Source organism: Homo sapiens, chromosome 16, assembly GCF_000001405.40.
Source record: "Homo sapiens chromosome 16, GRCh38.p14 Primary Assembly".
Taxonomy (NCBI): Eukaryota; Metazoa; Chordata; class Mammalia; order Primates; family Hominidae; genus Homo; species Homo sapiens.
In genome coordinates this window covers 83,977,279-84,003,703 of record NC_000016.10, presented here as the reverse complement: position 1 = coordinate 84,003,703, position 26,425 = coordinate 83,977,279, and the positions used below count along the sequence as shown (strand labels likewise).

Here is a 26,425-nt window from a genome sequence, read left to right as displayed (position 1 = left end):
TCTCACTCTGTTGCCCAGGGTGCAGTTGTGTGATCTCTGCTCACTGCAATCTCCACCTCCTGGGTTGAAGCGATTCTCCTGCCTCAGCCTCCCAAGTGGCTGGGATTACAGGCGTGTACCATCATACCCAGCTAATTTTTATATTTTTAGTAGAGACGAGGTTTCACCATGTTGGCCAGGATGGATTCAAACTCTTGACCTCAGGTGTTCCACCAGCCTCGGCCTCCCAAAGTGCTGGGATGACAGCTTGAGCCACTGCACTGGGCTGTGAGTGACTTCTTTCCTGCTAACCCGGACTGAGAAATAGGAAGAAGTTACAAAGCTTCCAGAATAAGACTTAAGACATGATTTCCAGTTGATAGGCGGGGTCTCCTGCTGTGTTGAATGGCTAATGCACAGACGTGCCGGGAGGCATTCACCCGTCCCTGGAGCGTCCTGCCTGGTGACAGTGTCTGTGTTGAGCCACACTGCGTGGTCTGGGCCAACCATGTGATTTATGGTGGGGTGTTGAGCCATGAGGTGTCAGCGTGTATGCGTCACCGAACCCCAGTAAGACTCAGGACTGCATCCCTGATTGGTGATGCTCTATCAGCATTGAAGCTGGGAGGGTTCAGTGCTATGGGCCTTTACTGGTAGCCCCGTGCCTGGCCCCCCACTCCGGGAGCCTCTTTCTTTGCTGGATTTTGTCTGTCTGTCTGTCATCTACCTACCTTGACCGTGACTTTGACAGTTGTGCCCAGTCCTTTGAATTACTGACCTGAGGGTAGGTGTGGTGCTGAGCTCCTGAATAGGCATGAGCCTAGTTCCCAAATACCGCATAGAGTGACCACCACCATTTCATGGTTCAGAAAACTGAGGCTGGGAGCACTTGAAGGGTCCCTGGCCCCCTGCTGTTGTCAACCAGGAAACAGACACAGAGCACACAGCTCTTCCCAACCAGGGTTTATTTGGCGCCTGGGCACAGTGGTGGCTACCTGGCTAGGTTGGGCACTACAGGGGCATGACTCCTACTAGGTAGAAGAATGTCACCGAAGAGGGCAGGGTGTGGTCAGTGTGGGTCATGCGTGGCCATGTGAGGGGTAGGGGAGAGGCCAGGACCAGGAGGCAGGGGTGCTGGCTCCAGGAAGCCGCCCCCTTCAACCTTGGGCTTCACCAGGACCTGGCAGCACAGACACTGCTCTGCCTTCTCAGGTGGGGGCAGGGGCGGCCTCCTTCACTTAACAACAGGGAAACACCTTCTTGTGGAGGATGGATTGAAAAGAAGCTTCTGCACCAAAGTGTCTGTCTAGAAAAAAACGGGATTTCCTTCACAAGAAGAAGGGGCTGGTGGGCTCCTCCACGGGCCTCTGGGAGGCTGTCAGTCCCGTCCCACCGTGCACCAAGCAGCTAAAAGGAGAGAGACACGTTAGAGGGAAGGAGTGCGAATGTGGGCAGCCTCGTAGCTGGTGGTGGTCGTCTTGAATGACAGGTCGGGGGATGGCTTTGAGTCCTTGTGTGACACACAGGTCCTTGCTGGTCACCCAGGTGCAAACCACACACCTGGGAAGGGAAATTCAGTCTGGCTGGAAGTAGGGGGCCGTGGAGGGGGTGCTCTGGTGCAAGCTCTGGCAGGCATACCTGTATGTGGGGCCACCTCAGGGCTGGCTCTGAGCCTGGCATTGGTGGCAGGAGCTGACAGTGGGCCCACAGCAAGCAGGCAAGTCCCCGGGAGATATGGGGCAGCCTCTAGGCTCTTGCCCTTCTCTCCAGTCAGGTGGCCACTGCAGTTCCAGGCCTTTGCCCCCTACCTGGCACCAAGATCCTGGAGAGGGCCTCAGGCTGGCTCAGTGTGTCCACCTTGACGTGCCGGAACGCCTTACACAGGGGGCTCTGCAGGTGCCTGTGACGCAGGGACATGTGTGAGTCAGGGGTGGCAGGAGTGGAGCTCCGCGTGTGGCTCCCCTGTTAATCCTAGCTCTAGCCCAAAATGGGGAGCTTATCAATAAGCACGGGGGGTCTTTGGACTCAGAGCCTTTGTGGGAAGGTGAGGGGGTGCCCAGGGAGGCTGACTCTGGGGTGGGCAGTGAGCTTCTCTTTTTCCCTGTGAGCTATAAATGGGCAGCGGGATCCCCCCACTCATTGCACAGAGCCTCTACCTCCCCCTTTACCCTAGCAGGAGGAGTGGGGCCATCCTCTGCCTGGGACCCATGACAACACAGAAGCTGCGAAGGCTTTTAGTCCCTCGTTTTATGAGTCACTGAAGTACGGACAGGGAGGGGACACTCTCACTTCTCATGACCGCCCCTGTTCCCACTGGGGTCCTGAGTTTGTCAGCAAACCGTGAGTGTTTACCAGGGAAGCAGGAGATGGGGGCATGGGCTACCCCTAGGCCCCGCTTCCTGCCTGTGGGGTCTGGCGCATCAGCAATAGTCTCCACCCTCTCCCAGATGTGTGCTGAGCAGAGGACAAAGGCCTAAGGCCCATCAGAGCTGCTGACACCCTACCCCATCTCCGTCCCTCGTACCGGGCACTCAGCTGGAGGGGAGGTTAGTCGCTGGAACAATTGATCACATGGGGACTGAGTCACCTTCTAGGTTAGGCCCTCAACTCTACAGGGTGGTAAAGAAGGCAGTGCCTCGGCCCCCAGGGCTGTTCCAGGAGGACAAGGTGCTCTAGGGGCACAGAAGCAACCCTGGGGAAAGCAGGAAAGCCCAGCTGAGTGTGGTGGGGGCTCTCACTACCCACCAAGAGCTCCTGCCTCCACCAGGGTTTACTGACGCAAGCATGCCAGCGGGTAGATGCCTCGGGAATCTGCTGACTGGACTCGGCCTTACCCTCCCCTCCAAGGATGCCTGGCTCCAGGAAGACAGCCCCCCCACTTCCCTCTGTCTCCCTCACCTGCTGTGGGGACCCAGCATCTCACCTCTTCCACGCCTCCTCTGTCTCCCAGAACTCATAGATGACAAAGGTGAAGCCATCTGAGAGCCTCACGGCAGTGATGCTGCAACAGGAGATGGTCGGGGGGAGGAGGCTGGAGCTCAACCAAGGCCACCTCAGTGCTGTTCCCCTGGGGTGGCCTGAGACCCACCACTATACACAACGGCTGCCTTCAATGTTTCTTCCTGTCTTGACCTCCATCGAGACTCGACAGGGTGACCCCAGCACAGGGAATAAGGCCTGGCTTCTTATAGTGGCCAACAGCTATTTATTAAATAGAATCAATGCAGTGTAGTTTTTCTTTTGAGATAGGGTCTCACTCTGTTGCCCAGGCTGGAGTGCAGTGGCACAATCACTTCAGCCTTCCAAGTAGCGGGGACTAGAGGAGTGCACCACTCGGCCTAATTCAAAAACTGTCCCAATAGAGATGGGGTCTTGCTATGTTCCCCATGCTGGTCTTTAACTCCTGGGCTCAGGCTGTCTTCTCACCTTGGCTTCCCAAAGTGCCAGGATTGCAAACTTCAGCCACTGTGCCCAGCTGAAATGTCATGTTAAAGTGTGAACATTTATTTAAACAAAACCAGGTGGCTGGATGTGATGGTTCACGCCTGTAATCGCAGAACTTTGGGAAGTCTTGAGGGGTCGAGGCAGGTGGATTACGTGAGGTCAGGAGTTCAAGACCAGCCTAGCCAACATGGCAAAACACTGTCTCTTTAAAAAAAAAAAAAATAAAACTTGCTGGGCCTGGTGGCACATCCCTGTAATCCCAGCGATGCAGGACACTGAGGCATGAGACTCATTTAAACCCTCTGGTGAGAGGTTGCAGTGAGCTGAGCTTCCACTACTACACACTCACTCCTGCCTGGACAATAAAGCAAGATTTGGTCTCAAAAAACCTTTAAAAATCAAAAAACCTTTAAAAATCAAAGCATCTTCCCTCTTCTTCCTTCTACTTGTCCTCTCATTTAATCCTTGCAACACCCCCACTGCACTGTACCTGACCTGACCAAAGGAGGCTGAGGGGAGGGGGTGCTGGGCCACAGAGGAAGGGGCTGCAGGCAAGTCCCCCATTGCTCTATGGGACCCAGGGGCCCGCACTCACGTCATTTTAAAGGTGCTGATAGTCTATGCCGCCCCAGAATCCTCTCTGCAAGTGCACTACAATGAGGAAGCCCCAAGTGACCATAAAGCGGGGGCCAAAAGCTGGGGAGGAGGGGCTACAGTGCTCAGCCTAGAGGAAGGGGCCGGGCTGGATTCCATCTTGGGGTGGACACACCTCCGTGCAGCTTTAGGTGCACCATGCCTGGGAAGTAGAATCTCACCTGGCTCTCCAGGCTTGCCGTCTCCAACTCGACAAACCAGAGCCTCTACGTCCACCGTGCCTCCTCTCCACAGCGCATCGGGGTGGCCCTACTTCACCCTGGAGCCTCCCACTTATTCACGTAATGGAAAAAGATCAAGTCTGGCCCCTGCTCCTGTGCAGTCTGTCCTCCTGGAGTGGAGTGGGTCCTGCCCCCCCATCCTGGCTACTTACTCAAGAATGGCCCCTCGTGGCCACGCCGAGTCTCGGGAACGGCCGCACTCCTGCCCAGGCTACTCCTCCCCTCGTGCTACAGGTCAGGCTGTTGTCACTCAAGCCTCAGTGCACAGGGGGCCCAAGAAGACCCCTCTCAAAGACCCTGTGCTAGGACCTGGCCTGCCTGGTTCACAGCCATGTCCCCAGGCAATGGGGTGAATGAGTGTGTGCTCTGGGGATGGAAGAAAGCCCTGGGAAGGGAGTTGGGCAGAGCCTTGCTGCAGAAACGGGGGGCGGGGGACCACTACCAGCAAGAACAAAGGGCTGTTGTCTTCTGCAACCCCCTCCACTCTGGCCCTGGCCACATGCCTTAGCTTTACCAAGGAGCTACATCAGCCTGGTGGGATGAACAGGAATTTGAAGGTAAGGCCGCTTGCCCCGCCCTGGACATCTCAGCACATCAGGGGGAGAAGGGCAACTACATGACTTGGGCATTTCCCTTCAGCTACCGACTCTCCTCTCCTTCCTCAGTGGTTAACTGAGCAAATACTACATTCTGGGCCTGGACTTAAGTGTGCAGGAACCCCTGTGACAGCAGCAGCTGAGGCTGACTGAGCGCACGGGGCACACCAGGCCCAGCTGGAGCCCTTCACACTTGAGATTCACACACTTGATTGTATATGCACTCATGATCACCCCAGCAAGGAGTCCTGGGGGTGGTCCCCCCTTTACAGATGAGTAAGCTGATGCCAGGGAGATGAAGACACCTGCCACATTTGCTTGGCTGGGAGGAACCTCAGTAGAGACCTGAACCCACTTCTTACGCATCCAGCTGTGTGTGTCCCTGGGGTGCAACTTGTACTACTTAGGGCAAAGCCTAGTCCTGCCCTGTTCCTCCACTGCCAGGCAGAGCTCCCTGCCACCATCCCACCCACGCCTCGGCAGCTCACTCACTGGAAGCAGTTCCTCACGCCAGTGGTCCCCCGCAGATACTGGCGCAGAGAGTCCAGAAACTCGCTCAGTTGCTCGGGGCACACGGCCATCTCCTGCCGGACCAGCTGCAGGTGCTGCCGGGCACAGCAGGAGTCAGTGTGGGGCTCCACGTCAGGCCTTCTCCCTAAACACCCCATCAGGCCCCCATGACCTCCCTTCCTCGGTCAAAATAAAATAACCCTCCCCCACTTTTCATTCTTACCCATGAATGGATAAGAATGGACTAAAAATGGGCTAAGAAAGGACTAGAACCTCAAGAGCCCAGTGCAGAAGTAGCCCCCAAAAATGGGGAAAACAGACGAGGTTGTTTACAGAGGCCCCATCCATGTCCACAACCACCTGCACAGCCTCCAGGGCCTGGAGACACAGCACATCCACTGACAAGAAAAACTCATAGTTGATGGACTCAGCATTTTCACATCACTGTCTGGCTGATCACTTTGCTCTATGCCAAACCTTTTTTGGATCAAAGTCCAGGAGCCTCTGGGCCAGGTGTGGTGGCTCACGCCTGTAATCTCAGCACTTTAGGAGGCCAAGGTGGGCAGATCATGAGGATAGGAGTTTGAGACCAGCCTGACCAACATGGTGAAACCCTGTCCGTCTCTACTAAAAATACCAAAAAAATTAGCCAGGCGTGGTGGCACACACCTGTAATCCCAGCTACTCAGGAGGCTGAGGCAGGAGAATTGCTTGAACCCAGGAGGCAGAGGTTGCAGTAAGCCGACATCCCACCACTGCACTCCAGCCTGGGAGATACAGCAAGACTCCATCTCAAAAAAAAAAAAAAAAAAAAAAAAAAGGTCCAGGGAGCCTCAAGAAATACCCCCGGAGTTGGTGGGGTGGCTCCTGTGCCAGGGCAGGGTCTGGGTGCCAAGCGCTGGGCGACATCTCCCCTCCTGGTGGTCCCAAGCAGGGAGAGCGGGGTCAGGGGCATTGAGCCACTTGGATCTTGGCAGTCCTGGCATGGGTAGGGATGTGGTCCCAGAAGAGAGGTGGGAAGGGGCCTCACCATGTTGGTGCCATCTTCATCTGACAGGCGCTGCTGCAGGTCGAACCACAGTGCCTGAAACAATCCAGCACACAGTGATGCTAGACCCAGAGCCCCACTCCGCCCCGGGGAGCCAGGAGCTCTGGGATCCCTGGGGCTGTTGGGAGCTCCCAAGGACCCGGCCCTGTTGCACAGGGCTGGGAGACCAACGCTAGGAAGTGGCAGAGACTCCCTCTGGCCTACAGGGGGCCTAGAACATGTTGCTGGGGTGAGGATGGCTTGGGAGAGGCAGCAAGGGGGACTCCAGAGGCCTGAGTCCAAGATGCTGGGGTTTGCCACTATGATGAGCAACAGCCCTTAGATTCCCTGTAACTTATAATTCACCCCAAATCATAACCCCCAGCACCTCAGGGATCTAATGGGGTGAACTGTTCTCTCTGGTCTTCCCCAGACTCTAAGCTAGATGGTTTACAAATACACAATCTTCCAGACTCCCCAGGGAAGGTGCTGCCCCACTGTAAGTTTCGGTCTCCAGGAACCACATCTGCTCTGTTCGCCCACGACTGGTGCCCACACAGGGCTGAGCCCCCACAGAAGATCAACAGTCACTATGTCACGGCAGAGAACCCCGGCTCTGAAGGCACGAAAGCCATGTAAGTGTCAGAGCGTGGGTCTGAACCCAGTGTGTCTACCTGACGCACAGGCTCATGCTGCTGCTTCCTTCAGCTTGGGCACCCCACTAACCACCTCTGTGGCTATCTCTGTCCATCCTCCATGAGGACAGACCATCTACGGGAGTCACACAGGGCAGCCACAGGTAAAGCACGCCAGCTAATAAGGAAAACAGCAGCAGGTGGATGAGTCTGTGTAGTCACCACCGTGACGTTCTAAATGTTTGAGCAAGGGACCTTGCACGCTCATTTTGCACTGGGCTCTGTAGTAGCTGATCCTGGCAAGGGTACTGCCTTCTGGGGGCACACAGCATGAACACGCCTTGGTAAGTGGTGAAGGTGTGCCTGGCAGGAACAAGTCTGTTTCCATGGTTTTACAAGCATACGTGAGGGGTCCTGGGGCTGGAAAAGCCATAGGAGGATGAGGAGAGGCACTGTGGCCCCTGTATCTGCCCCATTCTTCTCCCAGCCAGGGGCCCCTAGAGCCTCCATCCTTCCAGCCCAGAGGCAGCTCCGGTTGGCCGGTGAAGGGCGGGGCCTGAAGCCAGGCCCGGATTGGCCCCTGCTGACCGCCCGGGCCAGTTAGAGGCTGGGGAGGAGGACCTGGTCCCACCCCGTCTCCAGGACGCCCAGGTACTCCGTGGTTACCAGCCAGCCTGGTTGTTAGGGCGACGGTGCTCTAAAAATAAGCTTCAGAGTCTCCCTCCCGAGGCGCCCGCTGAGTTGTTATGACAACCGGGCCACGGGGTCCCCTCCGAGCCGCTCCCGCAGCTGGCTTCAGGAAGGGGGTAACTCCACCTCAGCCTCATCCCTGCAGGAGGGGAAGTTTGAGCTTCCTCCCTCGGACTTCATTCCACGTCAGCCTCTGTCTCCCTCCATGCGGGGAGCCCCTTGTTCCTGCCCCCATGAATGCCTGAGAACCCCCAAACTAAAAGTAGCAATACCCTTTACAAAGGGTGTAAAAAAAATACACAAAAGTAGGAGAAACATAAAACCACCTCAATCCCAGGGTTCTGAGAGCTCAGTTACCTTGGCTTATGTGGGTATACGGGTGTGCTGTGTGCATGTGGATAGGTTTGGGTAACAGAATGCCTCATAATAATTGCTAACATTGCTAATATTAAATGCAAGCTACAGCACCGGGCCCTGTGCTAAACCGGAGACATCATTTTGGTTCATCCTAACGACACCCCTATGAGGGAGGGGTCCCATGCTCCAGGTTATTTTCTTGATTATCAGAGGAGGAATCTAAGCCTCAGAGAGGACAAGTCCCTGGCCCAGGGTCACACAGCTATGAAGTGGCACAACCAGAATTCTGACTGATACCTGAGCCCATCTGTCTGTAGGCCCTAAGACAAACTTTTCTTTCCACCAAATGGTCATATTGTGAGCACTCTATCCCGAGTCACGAAACATTATCTGAAAATGTTTTCTGTAAGGGCTGTGCCATTTTCTATCACCTGTGGACGTCCCATATCACACTTAATACATTTGCTACTGCTGGTCACTTCCTTCCTTGTTTTGAAACTCTCTCGAATCATCACGTCTCTCTTTCATCCTGGTGCTGCCTTTCGGCCAATATCTGCTCCAGCCACTTCAGAGCAAAGTCTCCTTGAAGCTAGGGCCTTGCAACACGGGACCCTGCTGACCACCCTCTGCTCCTGGAGCTGCTCCTGCTGCCTGCAGGCCCGCCTGACCCCCCAACACTCTCTCTTCCCAGGCGCCCCTCCTTGGGCCTGAACAACACGAGCATCCCCCGGGGTTTGATCCTTAGCTTCGTCCTCGGCAGCTCCACGCCCCACCTGGGGGATGTCTTTTTCATGGTTCCCTGGCCCCTCTGCAGCCCAGACTTTTGTCCTGAACTCCAGGCTTAACTCTGCACTCCCTCAGGGGTTGGAAGGAGTAGACGCCGTGGTCAGGCCAGGGCTTACTTTGCTCTCCAGCCTCCCAATCAGCTCTGCCAAGCGGCTGATCTGGGCTTCCAGACCCTCTTCCTTTGCATCCTCCGTGGCTGCGGTAGAGAAAGAGACACACAGACTTCAGTGGTGGGCAGGACGAGGGCTTCGGGGGGAAGCTGGAAACATCCAGCCCCTCCAGGGGCATCAAACTTGCTCATCTCCCCAGTCCCTGTCAGAGGACTCTCAGAACTCCTCGGGACCCCCAGCTGGTACCCCCACCAGGGCCCCCGCTTTCTCTCACCAGATGGAAGGGTCTTGCCTTGTTCCATAGCCATGAGCTTGTGGTTGGGGGCAGAGGCGGGAGTGGGGCTTCCACACCAGGTCTGTGCCGCGCTGTGGCTGGGTTTGATGTGGTTCTGTCTGCAGTTTGGATGGGAACACACACAGACCATGGCGGTGGCTTCAGGGCCCTTACCACTTCCAGCATCTTCCACAGGCATTTATTACGCAAGACAGTGGACTCACACATGCACAGAACTTGCATCATGGCCTTTGTTTTGACAGAGGAGGAAATGAGGTTCTTAAAGCAGGTGACTCAGCCAGGGCCACGCAGCTAGCTGGGCAGAGCTGGGATTCGAATTCAGCTCCATTCTAGGACCCCACGGCCTAGGCCTTTTCCCCAAGAGATTCAGTTCCAGAGTGAGGCTGAGCCAGGGACCCACCCCCACTCTAACAGCTCGAAGCTTTCGGGCACGTGTAGAGCCCAAGCTGTGGAGTGACCAAGTCCCCCTCCCTCCCTCATGATAGGCCCATTTAATGTTTGGTGCCCTCTGGGGTGGGGGACCTGGTTTCAAGACCCCCCTCCAACACATACACATAAAAGCGAGACCTAAAGAGACACTGACAGTCGGGATGTAACAGGACAGAAACTGTGATCCTGACCTGGGCCTGGCCCCATCTCCCGGCCCTGGACACCCCTCTCCTGTGCATACTCATGTGCATACACACCCCTGCGTGCCCTGACAGGCACAGCTAGCCACAGGCAGAGGCAGACACACACACACACACACACACACACACACACACACACACACACACACAGCTCACCTTGCACTGTGTCCAGCACATAGTAGGGACTCAAAAATGCTCAATGAATGACCAAATCCTCCCATGCAAAAGGATGCTGAAAAGCTCCTGGCAGACATACAGAAACACAGACACTCCCCCAGAAGACACACAGAGTGCCCTGTGCACGGCCCCAACACCCGCTTGGTCTCTGTGCATCGCGGTCTTGGTGCATTCTGGAATTTGTCTCTTGTGAACCTTGAACACTCCGCCAGGCTCTCCCCCTTGCGGAGGGAGCAAACTCGACTCCCGCCTTGGGAGGGGAGAGGCTGGCAGAGTCTTTATGGTGTCAATCATGGCTTCTCTATAAACCAGCAGGAAATTAAATGTATCCCTCAGACCATGACGGGTTGCTCAGGGCTCCCGGGTGGTGGGGTCTGAGCCAGTAGCCTGTGCTAGAGGTGACATCCTGGGAGACTGTCCTGGGGCTGGGAAACAGGATAGTCCTCAGGGACCCACAGCCTAGAGCCAAACTAGCTGAGATTTGGGGAAGTTCGAGGGAGGGGCATGTGTGGAACAGAGGTATCACGACAAGCTGCCCCGTCTGACAACATCCCCAAGTAAGGTCCCCACCATGGGGGCAGGTGGGTGTAACTGCTGACGCGTGATGGAGCTGACCCAGTGTGGGAAGTCTGCCCTGAAAACTGCGCAGCCATACTATCTGTTCTGCGGCAGGAGAAAAACAGCAAGTTTTTCATCAAGATAGTAACAGGAAAACCCAGGAAATCTAAGTGTCAGCTTTTTTCACAGCGATGGCTGCTAATTCTGGGGCACCCAAGAATCACAAGACTGACCACATGTGCAGAGTTCTGGGCTCCAGTCCAGGGATTCTAGCCAGTGAGTATGGCCAGGAGCCCAGGAATGTGTATTTTAATTTTCCCAGGTGATTCAGCGCAAATGCTCAGATCAAACTCATTTGGGAAACAGTGTCTCAGAGTTACCTTCACAATCATGTCTGATCAGGACCAGCTCTTCAACTACGAAGAAACACACGATCAAACCCCAGTCCCCCAGCAAACCAATATCCTGGTCCTGAGGTACCTCTCTGCCTGGAAAATTAAGGGCTCAATCGAGCTTGGGTGCCGACACCTGGCTGTTTCCCTCATCTGTTTGCATTTTCTCTTTTTCTTCTGTGTCAAGCACATCAGCTGTTCTGGGAAGAACTGAGCAAAGAAGGGTTTTTCTCAATTTGAAACAGCAAATGGAGGTGGGCGGGGGGACGGGTGCTCGTGTTCCCCGGGAGATGGGACTGCTGAGCCACGAGAATGTCGCTCCTCTCTAAATACCAGGTCACACCCCTAACACAGCAGCCACCACCTAGGATGGGACCCCAGATGCATTCCCATGGTTCCAAGCACACAAACAAGGCCTAACACAAGACCAGAAAGAAACACTCCTCTTTCACGTCTCTTTCAGTCCTCCTGAGAAACTCTCAACTTGCTACTACTGTCTTCAACACCTCTCTGATTTCCCCCCAGTCTCTCTTTTTAACAGAGAGGTGGCAAGCCTCAGGATTCAAGCTGGATCGTAAACAATGACAGGTGCTTATTTTTACAGTTACTTCACTTACGGCATGTGATGCCGAGAGTGCAGTTATAACCATATGCCATTTCCTAAACTGCTTTCTAATTTTCAAAAGTGGGCTGGGGTGTGGTGGCTCCTGCCTGTAATCCCAGCCCTTTGGAAGACTGAGACAGCAGGATTGCTGAGACCAGGAGTTTGAGAACAGCCTGGCCAACATGGCGAGACCCCGTCTCTACAAAAAAAAAAAAAAAAAAAATAGCTGGGTGTGGGTGGGACTACATGCCTGTAGTCCCAGCTCCTTGGGAGGCTGAGGTGGGAGAATTGCTTGAACCTGAGTTGGAGATTGCAGTGAGCCACAATGGTGCCACTGTACTCCAGCCTGGGGGACACAGCAAGATTCTGTGTCAATAAATAAAATAAGGCCGGGCTCCATGGCTCAAGCCTGCAATCCCAGCACCTGGAGGCTGAGGCGGGTGGATCACCCTAAAGACCAGCCTGGCCAACATGGTGAAACCCCATCTCTACTAAAAATACAAAAATTAGCTGGGTGTGCTGGTGGGCATCTGTAATCCCAGCTACTAGGGAGGCTGAGGCAGGAGAATCGCTTGAACCTGGGAGGCGGACGTTGCAGTGAGCTGAGATCTCGCCACTGCACTCCAGCCTGGGTGACAGAGCAAGACTCGATCTCAAAAAAAAAAAAAAAAGAAAAGAAAAGAAAAGGAAATAGAAAAAGAAAAAAGAACGAATGAGAGAAAGAGAGAAAGAAAGAGAGAGAGAGAAAGAGAAAATAGGCTAGCTGTGGTGGCTCACACCTTTCATCCCAGCACTTTGGGAGGCTAAGGCAGGTGGATCACGTGAGGCCAGGAGTTCAAGACCAGCCTGGCCAACATGACAAAACCCCGTCTCTACTAAAAATACAAAAATCAGCCAGGCATGGTGTTACACACCTGCAGTCCCAGCCACTCAGGAGGCTGAGGCATGAGAATTGCTTGAACCCAGGGAGGGAGAGGTTGTAGTGAGCCAAAATCACGCCACTGCACTCCTGGGCGACAGAGCGACACTTTTTGTCTAAAACAAAAAAATAAATAAATAAATAAAACGTGGGCCAAACAACAGAATAGTTCTGCATAAACAATTAGCATGTGGATGCAGCAAAACAAATTAGAGTCTGGGAAATGGTGTCTTCACTGTATTAATAAATATGTACACCAGGCATTCTCCTGAGCATTTACTATCTCATTCAATCCTTGCAATGGCTGAGATTTTAGGTATATAATTGTGCCTATATTACATAATGGAGCACCAAAGGCACAAAGAGCTGTGGCAACTTGCCCAAGGTCACCCAGCTCTTAGGTACACAGACATCCCCACCAAGCAGCAGGTGGGCACGTGCGCGTGCACGGCATACCCCCATGGGACCCTGCAGGGTCTCAGAGACTCACCGGAGCTGGCTGGTCTGTTCCTCGATGGCCTCCACCGCACTCTCCACTGAGCTCAGCAGCGACTGGATCTGATTGGCCGTCTCCTTCAGGAGGAAGCGGGTCACAAACTGGTCCACGTTGCTCCCACCCTCATATACCTGTGGAAGGAAGAGAAGAGGCACTGAGGGGAAAGGGGTGGGAGGGAAATTGGAGGTGGGGTCTAGCACAGGAGTTGGGGGAAAGCTGGTGCTGGTGAATTTGCTTTGCAAAGGGAAGGGAGGACCCCACGGCCTCCTGGGGTCCAGTCTTAGAGGCTGTAGCATTTCCAACGCAGAGGCTAGAGGTTTAGAGACCAAATTTGAACCCTGGCTTCACCACTTACTAGCTCTGTGACCTCCCAGAGTATAATGGGGTCACTGAAGCATCTATCTTACAAGGTTGTAGCGAAGATTAAACAGCAACATGCGTGTACAATGCTCTGCACAGGGCCTGCCACACAGCAAAGACTCAATCAACAGTAGGTGCTACAATATAGATGACGGTGATGGTGGCAGTGATAGTGACTGGTAGTTTTGTTGTTGCTGTGACAAGGATAATGATCAGGCAAGAAGAATCCACGACCTTCCCTCCCTCCTTCCTCCTGCAAGGAGGATTCCTAGGGCTCCTGGATCTCCAGGCTGCTACTAAGGAAAATGACAAAACGGAATCAAAAGCAGCTGAAGGGAGGAAAGTGCCCGGGGCTTAGTAATCAAAAGGAGGTGGCCAGAGAGGAGCCTGGGGGGAAATCAGAGAGGGAGTCTTAGCGGAACTCTGGGGAAAAGACGAAAAAGAAAGTTTTTTCCAAGTTTTGCTCTGTGGTGTGGAACAGAATTTCCACCTCTGTCCTGAGATTCTGCAAGGACATTTCTCAAGGCTTTTGGATCCAGTGGAGATGCTTTGGGCTGCAAAGACTTTACAGCAGAAGGGAGAAAGCTCTGCTTACCCACGTCGCTCAAGGACGGGATGATGAAAATGATGCTGTGTTGGGGGATCTTGGGTCTCCCAAACCCTGCCCTGCTCTCCTGGCCTCCTCTGCCAAGACCCCGCCTTCCCAAGCCACCTGCCCCAGGCACCTTGGATTTCTGCCCAGTCCCTGGCAAGGCAAGGAAAAACAGGGCTCTCAAGGAAAGCAAATTAAACCATCCATCACTCTGACTGGGAATTAATTAGCAATAATTGCACAATGGGAAACACGGCTGACAGACAGACTGAGAAACAGAGGAGGAGGAGGGGCACATGAGAAGACAGCTAAGGCGTGGTGAAGGTGGGCGACCCAAGCCACCAAGCCGACAGCCAGACCAGGGTCTGCTGGGGACAGACCCTGACAGAGTACATGGCCAAAACTATGTCAGGTTCTTACAGCTTGGCAGGTTCCCGCAGCTGAATAAATGGCAATGACCAAAACCACACATGATCCAGTGATCAACAGACTCCAGACACGCGAATGGCCAAAAACGGACATGAAGACATAACTTGGTAAAATATTTAAACACAAAGCAAAAGGCTGCTAGAAGTGATCAGCAGAAAAATGGGCTGAAGTGTGTTAAAAGCACCCGGACCAGTGACTGAAGATGTGGTCAGCGATCAATAAGTGTTACTGGTTAGCTGAATTCCAAAGAAGACAAGTTATTTTCCGGGGAGTAAAAAATGAAGCTTTTCCTGATTTCTCCTCCACAACTGAAAAGCAGCCTACATTCCCCCATGTAAAGATACAACCCCAGATTTGACACAGGGGTACACGTGCCTATTTGTTACATGGGTATATTACATAATGGGGGGGGACTGAGCTTGCCTCAGACAAGAGACCAGCTCCACAGACTCCACAGGGAAAGGCTCAGGTGGAGAAATTTTGCATCCAGTGGACAAGTTACTCATTTGTAGAACAACTGGGAGATCTCCAGAAACCTGCAAATTTCTGAAATTTTACCAGATGAGCACCTTTTCTGCAAACAATGCTTAAGAGTTTGTCCTAAGTCACTTGGGCTTGAATTAGAGAGAGTTCTTCATATGGGGAAGTTATGACAAGAACTAACAGCGATCACTCAAATTAAACATTCAGGTTACAGAGGTTAGGAAATAAAAACATTAACCACTAATGGTTTAATTTCAACTATATTGGATTTAGTCAATAAAGCATAGGGGAAAAAAGCCTAAAATCTTAAAAATTATTTTTATTCCCAAAGGGAAGAGAAAGTGTTAATTAGCTAAGTATAAAAATAGGATTAAGAATCTTAATAATAATGTATTTTTTAAAGTAACTGATGAAGTGAAAACTAGGAATTGTACATTCCAAATCATAATCCATGATATAAACAGGGCAGACCACCAAAAGGTAAAATGTAAAAGAGATGAAGAAAGCATAAAAAAAGGGAAGAATAAAACACAACAGTCAGACCGAATAAAGCAATCATAATAAAAAAGGTGGCCCGAATTCCCTTGTATAAAGACAAAGTCCCAGATCTGATTAAACAAGGTCCATCAGAAGCGCACCTAAACCAAAGCAGCACAAAGGACTTATGAAGAAAAGCCTGTGTAAAGATTCAGTAACCAACTGTGATTGAACAGCATAAGGTACAATATCACTATCAAGTTAGAATTTAAATGAGAAAGTACTGCCCAAGAAAGGTAGGAATATAATGATAAAAGGCATAAAGTTATAACAAAGACGTGCCATTATTAAATCTTCATGTACTGACACAGAATATAGCTATGGGGACTTCGATGCTTACAGCCATCTTATGTAGCCATTTTGCTCTATGTCAAGTGCCATAAACTGCTCAGATTCTTTAACCCAGTAATTCCCCAACTCTGATAAATTATCCTCAAGAAATAGTGCAAAATATGGACAACTATGTTTGCCACAAGGTATTAACTATGTAATACTCATAATAGCAAAAACTTGGAAATAATCTAATATACCTAACAAAAGAGGAAAAATAAGTACACTAAAATATTTTAAATGATGCTTTTGAAAAGTTTTAGTAACATAGGGAAAATGTTAAAAAATTAGGTAAAAGAGCAGGAAATAGATTTTTGAACACAGATTATAAATTTAAGAAATACACATAAAAAAAGGCTAAAATGTTACCAGTGGTTAGGGATAGTGGGAATTAGAAGCGATTTGAATTTTCTTTATACTTTACTCCCTAAATTTTGCATATCAACTACGTACCATTATATAACAGAAGTACTGTAACAAAAGTCTATATGCGTCAAACAACATGGCTAAAAATTAGAAAGGAAAACCATTAGAAACACAAAGATTTAATGACAAAACGCAATTTAGTATGAGAAATTAGCTAACCACTGTCTCACAGAACAGATACATTAGATAATAATAAATAAGGACGCAAAGGGCACTGTTAGAAAGAATAGTCAAAGTCTCTGAAATGGGCAAAAATGACTCTTGGGTTTCTTGTTTTTCTAAGTTTACTATTTTTTCTAGTTTATCTAAGTCTTTCCTTATTCAGGAGCTACTTTGTTTTGTTTTCCAACATTTATTTATTTGAAAGATGGATTTGAGAACTTGTTACAGGAGGGAAGCCAAGGACAGAAAGTTGGGTTTTATGTTTTATTATTTTTATTTCAGATTCAGAGGGTACTTATGCCTGTTTGTTACATGGGTATGTCATGGTGGGGGTTGCGTTTCTAGTGTACCCGTCACCCACATATTGAACATTGTACCTACGAGGTAATGTTTCAACCCTAACCCCACTCCTACCCTCCCTGGAGCAACTTTTAAAACTCTGTGGATATAGACCATTTATAATAATTCAAAGAGTTCTCTTCTGGCTGGCCATGGTGGCTTATGCCTGTAATCCCAGCACTTGGACAAGCCAAGGTGGGGAGATGATTGCTTCAGCCCAGGAGTTTGAGACTAGTCTAAGCAAAATAGGGAAACCCTGTCTCTACCAAAAAAAAAAAAAAAAAAAATTTGCCGTGAGTGGTGGCACCCACCTGTGTTCCCAGCTACTTGGAAGGCTAAAGTGGGAAGATCACTTGGGTCTGGGAGGTTGAGGCTGCAATGAGTAATGACTGTGCCACTGTACTCCAGCCTGGGCAACACAACAAGACCCCGTCTTTATCTCTTATACAGAAATGCACAGGAAGTTTGTCTGGCACTCTCCACAGGGCAATTGGTTGTTGCCCTGGGATAGTGACCATTCATGCATTTATTCACCAACTGATTTCGGAATTGCTATTTACCTATGTATTAGTGCACAAGTTCTTTCAATTCTCCTTTGAGCCAGTTCCAGTATCTTACTGATTCTCATATTGAGTTAGAGAAAATCTTTGGGCTGGGCGCAGTGGCTCATGCCTGTACTCCCAGCACTTTGGGAGACTGAGGCGGGTGGAACACCTGACGTCAGGAGTTCAAGACCAGCCTGGCCAACAGGGTGAAAACCCGTCTCTACTAGAAACACAAAAATTAGCCGGGCGTGGTGGTGCACGCCTGTAATCCCAGCTACTCGGGAGGCTGAGGTGGAAGAATCGCTTTAACCCAGGAAGCAGAGGTTGCACTGAGCTGAGATCACTCCATTGTACTCTGGCCTGGGCAACGAAAGAGAAACTCCGTATCAAAAAAGAAAAAAAGAAACAAGAAAAAATATTTGATGTGTATTTTAATACCTGCAGAAGAGACATAATTTTACCTTTAAAAAAGTACCTCTTAGCAGCACGTATTTCATAACGAAGAAAGGATAGCTGTTTTCAGATCTGCTAATTCTGCAAGCACAATCCACATCGTCTTAAGCATTCATGAGGTAGTTACAAAAACAAACACAAATGTAATGGAAAAATCTCAGTACATTAAAAAAATAGAGTAGAAACCTTTCTGGTCATTCAATTTTATCTTAATACAATGAACTGAAAAATAAATGAGAACATAACAGGCTGCTCAAATAATAGGTTGAAAATACTACACATTAACATCTGTGATTGCTATGGGAACGCCAACAGTAATTTTTTTTTTTTTTTCTGAGATGGAGACTCACTCTTGTTGCCCAGGCTGGAGTGCAGTGGGGCAGTCTCGGCTCACTGCAACCTCCACCTCCCGGGTTCAAGTCATTCTCCTGCCTCACTCTCCCAAGTAGCTGGGATTACACACAACTGCCACCACGCCCAGCTAATTTTTGTATTTTTAGTAGAGACGGGGTTTCACCATGTTGGCCAGGCTTGTCTTGAATTCCTGACCTTGTGATCTATCTGCCTCGGCCTCCCAAAGTGCTGGGATTACAGGTGTGAGCCACCGCACCCAGCAGTAACCTTTTTTTTTTTTTTTTTTTTTTTTTTTTTTTTTGAGACAGAGATTTGCTCTTGTTGTCCAGGCTGGAGTGCAATGGCGCAGTCTCTACTCACTGCAACCTCCACCTCCCGGGTTCAAGTGATTCTCCTGCCTCAGCCTCCCAAGTAGCTGGGATTACAGGCGCCTGCCACCACGCTCGGCTAATTTTTGTATTTTTAGTACAGACAGGGTTTCACCATGTTGGCCACGCTGGTCTCAAACTCCTGACCTCAGGTGATCTGCCCGCCCCGGCCTCCCAAAGTACTGGGATAACAGGCGTGAGCCACTGCACCCAGCCCCCATCAAAAGTAAATTTTAAAAATGTCAACATTATCAAAAAAACCATTCCATTTCACATATGAAAAAGAACAGCAAAAACAACAAACCTAAAGTTATAAGAGGGAGGAAATAATAATGATAGGAGCTATAAATAAATAAGAAAACATGTCATGAAATTTAAATAAATGTGCCAGGAGCTTGTTATTTGAAACAGCTAATTAAAACAGGCAAAACTGTCAAATACAAGGTTTTAAAATGTAGAAAAATGGGAGAAACTTAAGATGTGAGCTACAGCAGCACATTTTATTTTTTTATTTTTGAGAGACAGGGTTTCTCTTGTCACCCAGGTTGGGTTGCAGCGGCATGCTGTGCCTCACTGCAGCCTCGACTTCCCAGGCTCCAGAGATCCTCTCACCTCAGCCTCCCAAGAAGGTGGGAACTACAGACACATCCCACCATGCTCGGCTAATTTTGTTTTGTTTTGTTTTTGGTAGAAACGGGGTCCCACTATGTTGCCCAGGGTGGTCTTGAACTTCTGGGCTCAAGCGATCCTCCCGCCTCGGCCTCCCAAAGTGCTGGAATTACAGGCGTGAGCCACCGTGAGCGGCAGCAGATCTTTTATTGAACTTAATGTGCATTAAGTGCCTGCGTGTGTCAAACAATGTTTTAGATTTTTAAAAATAATCATAAAACATTCCATGCATGACTGATTGTAAAAACGACTATGCCCAGGGCAGTTTTGTTTAAAAATATTCCGCCGGGCGCGGTGGCTCACGCCTGTAATCCCAGCACTTTGGGAGGCCGAGGAGGACAGATCACGAGGTCAGGAGATGGAGACCATCCTGGCTAACACGATGAAACCCCGTCTCTACTAAAAATACAAAAAATTAGCCAGGCGTAGTAGCGGGCGCCTGTAGTCCCAGCTACTCGGGAGGCTGAAGCAGGAGAATGGCGTGAACCCGGGAGGCGGAGCTGGCAGTGAGCTGGGACTGTGCCACTGCACTCCAGCCTGGATGACAGAGCGAGACTCCGTCAAAAAAAAAAAAAAAAAAACCACCATATATATATATGTATTTTACAATGGACAAGTGAAAAAGTTGACTAAAAGTAGAGATGACCTTAAAATAACTATGAAAATCATCCCCTCCCCTGTTTAACACTGAGACCCAAGCGTTATGGATAAATTCTATTTTTACGTAGAAAAATGATGCTATGTTAGAGAAGCTGATTCATACACAGAACACATTCAAAACCACTTCACAAAATCATTCCCAAGCTATCATCCGATCTCCACTCCCAATGGAGACAGAGATAAAATTCTTGGCTCATGACAAGGACTCAGTAATGTGATAAAAGAATAATATACCAATTAGGGTTTATCACAGGGAGCGAAGGATTGTTCAATTTGAGACAATCTAAAAATAGCATCCACCCCATCAATAGCTTAGGGGAAAAAAATCATATGATCATTTAAAAATACCAAAAGGCATTTGAAAAAATTCACCACCACCCTCCTAAGACAAAATGGAAAAAAGGGAATGCAAAAATATTTCTCCAACATGCTGACAAGGATTCTAAAATAAGAGCTGGTATTAATATGATAATCAGCAGAGAAGTACTAGAGATGCACTCGAAAATCAGGAGCCAAACAAGCATGCCTGGCCGTGCCCCACCACGACGTTTTAGAACATGAGAGAAATGCCACAGGATAGACAGGGAAGCAAGAGGGGCACGTGTTAGAATGCAGAGACAACGGCACTCTTAATAACTGATGCTGCGGCTTGACGAAAGCAAACAGCACATACAAGAAAAGCATTCAAAACAACAACCGACAAGCTGCATTTCTACAAACAAAAACCACTTAGGAAATACGCAAGCAAAAGAAATGCCAATCACATCACACCTGTAATCCCAGCACTTTGGGAGGCCGAGGTGGGCGGATCACCTCAAGTCAGGACTTTGAGACCAGCCTGGCCAACATGGTGAAACCCCGTCTCTACTAAAACTACAAAAATTACCCAGGAGTGGTGGTGGGCGCCTGTAGTCCCAGCTACTCGGGAGGCTGAGGCAGGAGAATCACTCAAACCCAGGAGGCAGAGGTTGCAGTGAGGCGACATTGTATCACTGCACTCCAGCCTGGACAAGAGTGAGACTCTGTCTCAAAAAAAAAGAAAAAGAAAAAGAAAAAGAAAACAAAAAAAAAGGAAATGCCAATCACGGATGCAACAACCTATCATCACCACGACTGCCACAAAAAAACCACCAAAGACCACCCCTGACATCATACGCACATGACTTCCAAGAGCAAGATCTCTAAAACCGGTCTAACTTGTATCAGTAGACACTGATGGAGAACTCTCTTATGTTCCTGAAAAGTCTGACTGAAGACCAAGACGCAACCATGGATGTTACGAATGCCTCACAGCATGGCTAGGACGTGGGCCCCTTCTAAGGTGAGAAAACCGAGGCTCAAGGAGGTGGTTTCCATTTCCCAGGGTCATCTGTGAGCACATGGTGACCTCACACAGCCTGTTTGGAGCAGAGCTGGCATTGCCACCCTTGTCTGGGTGACTCGGAAGCCTGGGATCTTCCCATGCTACCTTCTAATCCACCGCCTATACCTTGATACTTGGGGATATCAAACGATATTCTACAAAGATTAATACTTGAAGGGAGCAGGTCTTACATGGTATTAAAATATACTCTAAAACAGCAAGACTCAAAACAGCATGATACTGGGACAGAAATGGAAATGTGGAATCGTGGAGGCCCAGAATGAGGCCCAACTATTGTTAGATATATGGCAAAACAGAGACTGTCTAATACATGGCGGTCACTAACTGAGAAGCATGGGAAAATTGCACAGAATGGGTTTTAATATCTGGCTGAGCGTACAGTAGGAGCGTATTGATACAAACCAGCAGGTGCCTTTGCTCCGAGCTTGGTCCTGCATGCTCAATAGCTCAGAGGCCTTACTTGGCTCAATCTCTGAAGGACTTCGTAATTCATAAGGTGGATGTCTCCATTTCACAGATGGAAAAACTGAGGCTCAGAAAGGGAAATAACCAGCTCAGATCCCTCAGCCAGGTCTGGCTGGCTTTATCAGCTAAGTTCCCCGGCCTCAACCGGCAGACAAGGCTGGGCTTTTCTGGACTCCCAAAGCTCAGGGTGCTGGTGGCTGCTGCCTCGAGCACCTGTGGGTCCCTCACCCTTGCATGCTCCCAGTTCCCTCACCGTGGGCCTGGACCAGTGTGCCCTATGGCTGCTCTCTGCTCCTGGATGACTGACTCTCCAGTTGCCTCCTGGGTGTGCCTGGAGTCTCATGCTACACTCCCATGCCTATTGCCAGGTCCCTGACTCAGTTTCCCCACTCATCCCAGCCAGCAGCTATGGCTGTCTGGCTGTGACTCTGTTGAGTTCACCTTTGTGAGCCTCTGTTTCCATAGCTGTGAGATAGTGGAGGTGACAGCAACCACCCATAGGGTTGCTGTGAGGATTAAACCAGGTGCTGAGCATCGAGAACCTGATATGGGACAGGGTTCAGATGCATGAACCACCACCCCCCACCACGCCCCACCCCGCCCCCTCTTCCAGTCTTGTAAGCCCACCCTGAAGGGTACGACACCTGTCTGGGGACCCCTTAAGGGCACAGGGTGATTGCGGCCACCCTTTCTAAGGCCCCAGCCCAGGATCAGGCCTGATTCCGGGAAAATGCCTCCTGCTCCCAACCAGAGCCATTCACCAAACCATTCTATTCCCTTCCCAGTTCATCTCAGCTGCTTCAAAGAGGCCCAGGCAAAGCCCACCCCTGAGATAGGCCTCCCTGGCGGCCTGTCTTCAAAAATCCAGGCATCCTTAGGCAAGGGTGGAACTGAAGCAGCACTGGAGCCCTGGACCCCGGGGGCCACCTACACCCACTGACCTTCTTGGTATAACCCATGGCCTTCAGGACAGAGTGATTCAAGGTCTCCAGGGAGGCCAGGACATCCTCATAGTCACCCATGTGGTCCACAAAGTAATCTGGGGAAGGAAAGGCAAAGGTCAGGGGTCACAGGTCCTGCCCCTCCCACTCAGCACTCCTGCACCTCCCACCTGCGCTACCTCCAGCCTCCCCTGCCTCAGGCCCTTCTCATCCAGCCCCATCCCAGCATCCCCATCTTGGTCCCAGCATAGCCAGGCACCTACCACACAGCTCCTTGGTGTCCACATGGCTGCAGAGACAGACAGAGGCAGAGACAGACAGAGACAGAGAGGGGGTTAGCAGGCCTGACCCTGCACAGCCTGCGAAACACACATCCTGCCTGCTCTTTGCAGCCTGTGTGCTGGCCCCACAAGCTCCGCCTTACAGAAGAGGGTGCAGCAGGTAGGTGACACCCCCGCCCCTGAAGGCCCACGTCTGTCTGATCCCCCACACCACCCACCCTTGTTCTGTTTTCTCGGAGTCTGCTGACCCCATCATGAATAAATGACACCAAGGGGAGGGCCAAGCTGGGGGCCAGGAAAGGGGTAAAGGGACAGAGAGTGGGGACCCATTACTGTGACGGGCTGTCAGCAAAGCTCTCATCTGACCCACTGACCCACCCCCAGTCGACCCTGCCTGCTGGGTCCTGGAGTTCCTGGGGTTGTGGCAGAGCCCTTCCTGTTCTGGTCGCAGCCCCTGGGTCCCATATCCCCATTCCTACAGCCTGGAGAAGGGTCCTGTCCTTTCTTGGGGGAGCAGGCTGAGCATGAGCCTATCCCCCATGGCAGTGAAGGAGCACAGACCGGCCCCAAGATAAGGGGTGCAGTGCTGGGAACTATGGTGGTTCTGCAGCTTAGGAGCAGATTTGATAAGCTGAGGCCCTCTGGGACTGGCTAGAGATGGTCTGGATAAGGAGCTACTGCCAAGTCAATGTGCAAGGGACCCAATACGGTGGTGGCCCTTTCTGGGCCTAGGTCCCTCATCGTGCTCAGTGGAGCCCAGGCTCAGCAAAGCACATCTGGACAGAAGGCTTCTGTGGCCCAGTGAATCTGCACTCGGGGGCTCTGCATGCTCTGTCAGGAGGTGCCTCCAACCTCCATCTCATATTCAGAGTTCTGGCAAGTCCTGCAGAAAGCGACCCTGTCATTCTGCTTTAATTCATGTTTCACAAAACTTTTTGATGGTTTGTACACTGTTTTGGGCACAAAGTCTATTTAGCATCCCAAGGGGCTAATGTTCGTGGCTCACACCTTAGGTAATGTTGGGGAGATTAATCCTAAAAGTCTTTATAGAGCTTTGACCTTCCATAACCGCGAGTCCTCCCTGCACCCCCACCCACCCACACGTACTCTCACAGTTCGACTCTCAAACCAGTGCCTCCTCCTCCCTCCGCCTCCACCCCCTCCTCTACCCCGCTGGTCCTAACACAAAAGGCCCTGAAAGAGAAGGTCTAAATCAATGGGCACCTGCCTGGCCCCTTCAAAGCACCCCAGGAAGCTGCAGTAACAGCTCAGAAATCTCCATCTGGCCCCAGACAGTTCTCCATTCTGCAGTCTGGAGCCTGAAGCCATTTCTTTAAAGTGGCCTTTCCCAGAGGATGGTATCTGCTCCACTTACCATATCCCGGTCCCCAGCCAGTGCCCCCCAGGACTCTCTCAGCCGCAGCCTCTGGTCCAAACCACCACTGTACTCTACCCCTTGCACACTGGTTTGGTGGTAGCTCCTTGTCCAGACCATCTCTAGTCAGTCTCAGAGAACCTCCGCTTACCAAATGTGCCCTAAGCAGCCCTCCAGAAGCTTGGGTCCTCATCACGCGAGTAGGCCTGAGAAAGGAGACCAGGTGGGGCTCTGATCCCTCCTGAAGGTGGGGTTGAGGAGAGGGCTCAGACCTCATCCTGTCTGGGGAATCCCAAGAAAAGGGCAAGATTGGAGGTGAGGCTGGGAAGGGTCAAGGGTAAGTCTGAGTAGAATCTGCATTTTCCACTTGATTTAGAGATGGGTGGAGACAGAGTTTTTGGCTGATTCTGAGATGCAGGTCAGGGTTATGACTGGGTTGGAGAAAAGGTTTAATAAGCTATAATGATAGACGTAGTGTTGAGTTAGGATTCGTGTTTGGTTTAACACAGGAGTCAGTGTTAGGATGACGTTCAACCTCACAGTTAATGTTGGGACTGGGAGGACACACAGGCATTGGGGTTGGGGTGAGAACTGGCTGCTGGCTGAAGATGGCAGAAGGATGAAGTCATTGCCACCTTCCCATTTTCATAATCCCATGTCCACTGTGCAAAACCAGGAGTCTCTCCTTAGTTGGCCATGTGCACTCAGAAGACACACTTGCGATAGTAGCCAATGCAATATGAATCTGCACACGCCCCATTCACCCCAGGCAGTGAAGAGCTGACTTCTGGATTAGCAAATTTGGGGATTTTCAGTTCTCCTGCCCCTTACAGGGGACTAGGAACGGACACTAGATGAAAAGATGCCTCCACCACAGCCCACACACACCCCCACTCTGCCAGCCAGGACTGAAGCTCACTTGGTGTTGTCAGAGTCAATCGTGTGAAAGAGATCCTCCAGTTCTTTCTCATTAAGGACGCCATCTGCAAAGAAGAGCTGGAATTCCTCCAAGGACAGCTTCCCATCATCTGCAAGGAAGGAAGCAGAGAAAGGAGCTGGTGTCTGCAGAGATAAGGCTGGTGGGGCTAGTGCATGCACGGCCCCCAAATCCAGTCAATGGCCTGACTGACAGAACAACTGCAGCTCAGATAATCCCTACCCTCCCAGCTAATCCCCAAACTAAAAGACAAATTCCATTTTAGATAATCCCTACCCACCCAGCTAATTCCCACACTAACCAGTAAACTCCAGTACACAGAGAATCATGCCTCATCCAGCTAATTCCCAGACCAATGCCTGTTTACAGATAATCCTCAAACTAACAATAATGCAATAGCTAGCTTTCTTGGGCTCACCATGCACTCAACATTTTCCATGCGTTCAACAAATATAGAGTATCTGCCCCCTGCCAGTGAATTTTCTCTCAATTTACATGGCCACCTGGAGGCAGGTGCTATTTAAGATAACCCACTGTGAGCAACTTGTCCCATGTCACACCATCGGTATGAAGTGGATCCAAAAACCAGCAGCTGGATGAGCCACCACTCCATAGCTTCCAAACGCCAAGTGGTCTCTGCATGCTCCCAACCCCAATCCCAGCCCCTAAGCCCTGACTCTCTCAGCACTGTTCTTAGAGTACAGAAGAACCCTTTCTTCTCCGCCCCATCTATGTGGCAAACTTCAGGTCCTTCCCTGAGGCAGCATGAGATGGCTGCCAATGGCCGGCATGAGGTTCTCAGTTACCTCCTCTCCCAGGCCACAGATGCAGCCATCTAGATGCCAAGCCATGCAGGAAGGAGGTGCCAGGCCTGGAGGTGCCAACGCTCTGGCCAGAGGCTGTGCTTCTGAGGTGGAGCTCCACAGAGGGGCCTCCACAGCTCCTCTGTGGAGGGGCTCTGTGGAGGGATGGGTGGGACACATGCCACCAGTCCCACCCATCGCCTCACCTTTTCCCTTCACTTGCAGTTGCTCTGGGGACACTTTTGGCCCTACCAGGAAGGTCTTGTGGGTTTGGATCAGATTGGGCCACCAGGGGAGGTGGCTTAAGAACATCAGGGACTCTGGGAGGCGGTCCCTAAGCTTCCACCCTCAGCTCCTTCCACCTGAACAGACCTGCTGAGCAAATGCCAGCAAGCTCATCCCCCACCTGCCCTGCAGCCACCTCCCCCCTCCTCAAGGATCTGTTCCTCCTTA

General features: G+C 50.9%; 1 protein-coding gene across 4 annotated transcripts in view, besides 2 other annotated features; it reads right to left on the bottom strand.

Annotated features, from left to right (window-relative positions):
- Nucleotides 598–1,380: an enhancer, noted in NCBI's record as "H3K27ac-H3K4me1 hESC enhancer chr16:84035929-84036711 (GRCh37/hg19 assembly coordinates)". NCBI's record gives its function as "activates a minimal SCP1, AML or CMV promoter by ChIP-STARR-seq in primed H9 embryonic stem cells {active_cell/tissue: H9 hESC(primed)}" and the evidence as "EXISTENCE:reporter gene assay evidence [ECO:0000049][PMID:30033119]".
- Nucleotides 928–26,425, bottom strand: part of NECAB2 (N-terminal EF-hand calcium binding protein 2) — a 37,600-nt gene continuing 12,102 nt past the window's right edge. For 2 of the 4 annotated variants that reach the window (XM_047434240.1, NM_001329749.2), the window contains exons 3-12: nucleotides 25,152–25,260; nucleotides 22,577–22,674; nucleotides 13,074–13,210; nucleotides 9,284–9,402; nucleotides 9,016–9,095; nucleotides 6,435–6,488; nucleotides 5,387–5,499; nucleotides 2,903–2,980; nucleotides 1,788–1,879; nucleotides 928–1,386 (exon numbers count right to left, since the gene is read on the bottom strand). In XM_047434240.1, the coding sequence (XP_047290196.1) occupies nucleotides 1,358–1,386; nucleotides 1,788–1,879; nucleotides 2,903–2,980; nucleotides 5,387–5,499; nucleotides 6,435–6,488; nucleotides 9,016–9,095; nucleotides 9,284–9,402; nucleotides 13,074–13,210; nucleotides 22,577–22,674; nucleotides 25,152–25,260 (909 nt within the window). In that variant the 3' untranslated portion in view covers nucleotides 928–1,357. Of the gene's footprint in view, nucleotides 1,387–1,787; nucleotides 1,880–2,902; nucleotides 2,981–5,386; nucleotides 5,500–6,434; nucleotides 6,489–9,015; nucleotides 9,096–9,283; nucleotides 9,403–13,073; nucleotides 13,211–22,576; nucleotides 22,675–22,839; nucleotides 22,866–25,151; nucleotides 25,261–26,425 lie in introns of all 4 variants that reach the window. The other 2 variants (NM_019065.3, NM_001329748.1) reach the window with 2 other exon arrangements.
- Nucleotides 7,659–7,718: a silencer, noted in NCBI's record as "silent region_7773". NCBI's record gives its function as "represses an Ori minimal core promoter by ATAC-STARR-seq in GM12878 lymphoblastoid cells {active_cell/tissue: GM12878}" and the evidence as "EXISTENCE:reporter gene assay evidence [ECO:0000049][PMID:35858748]".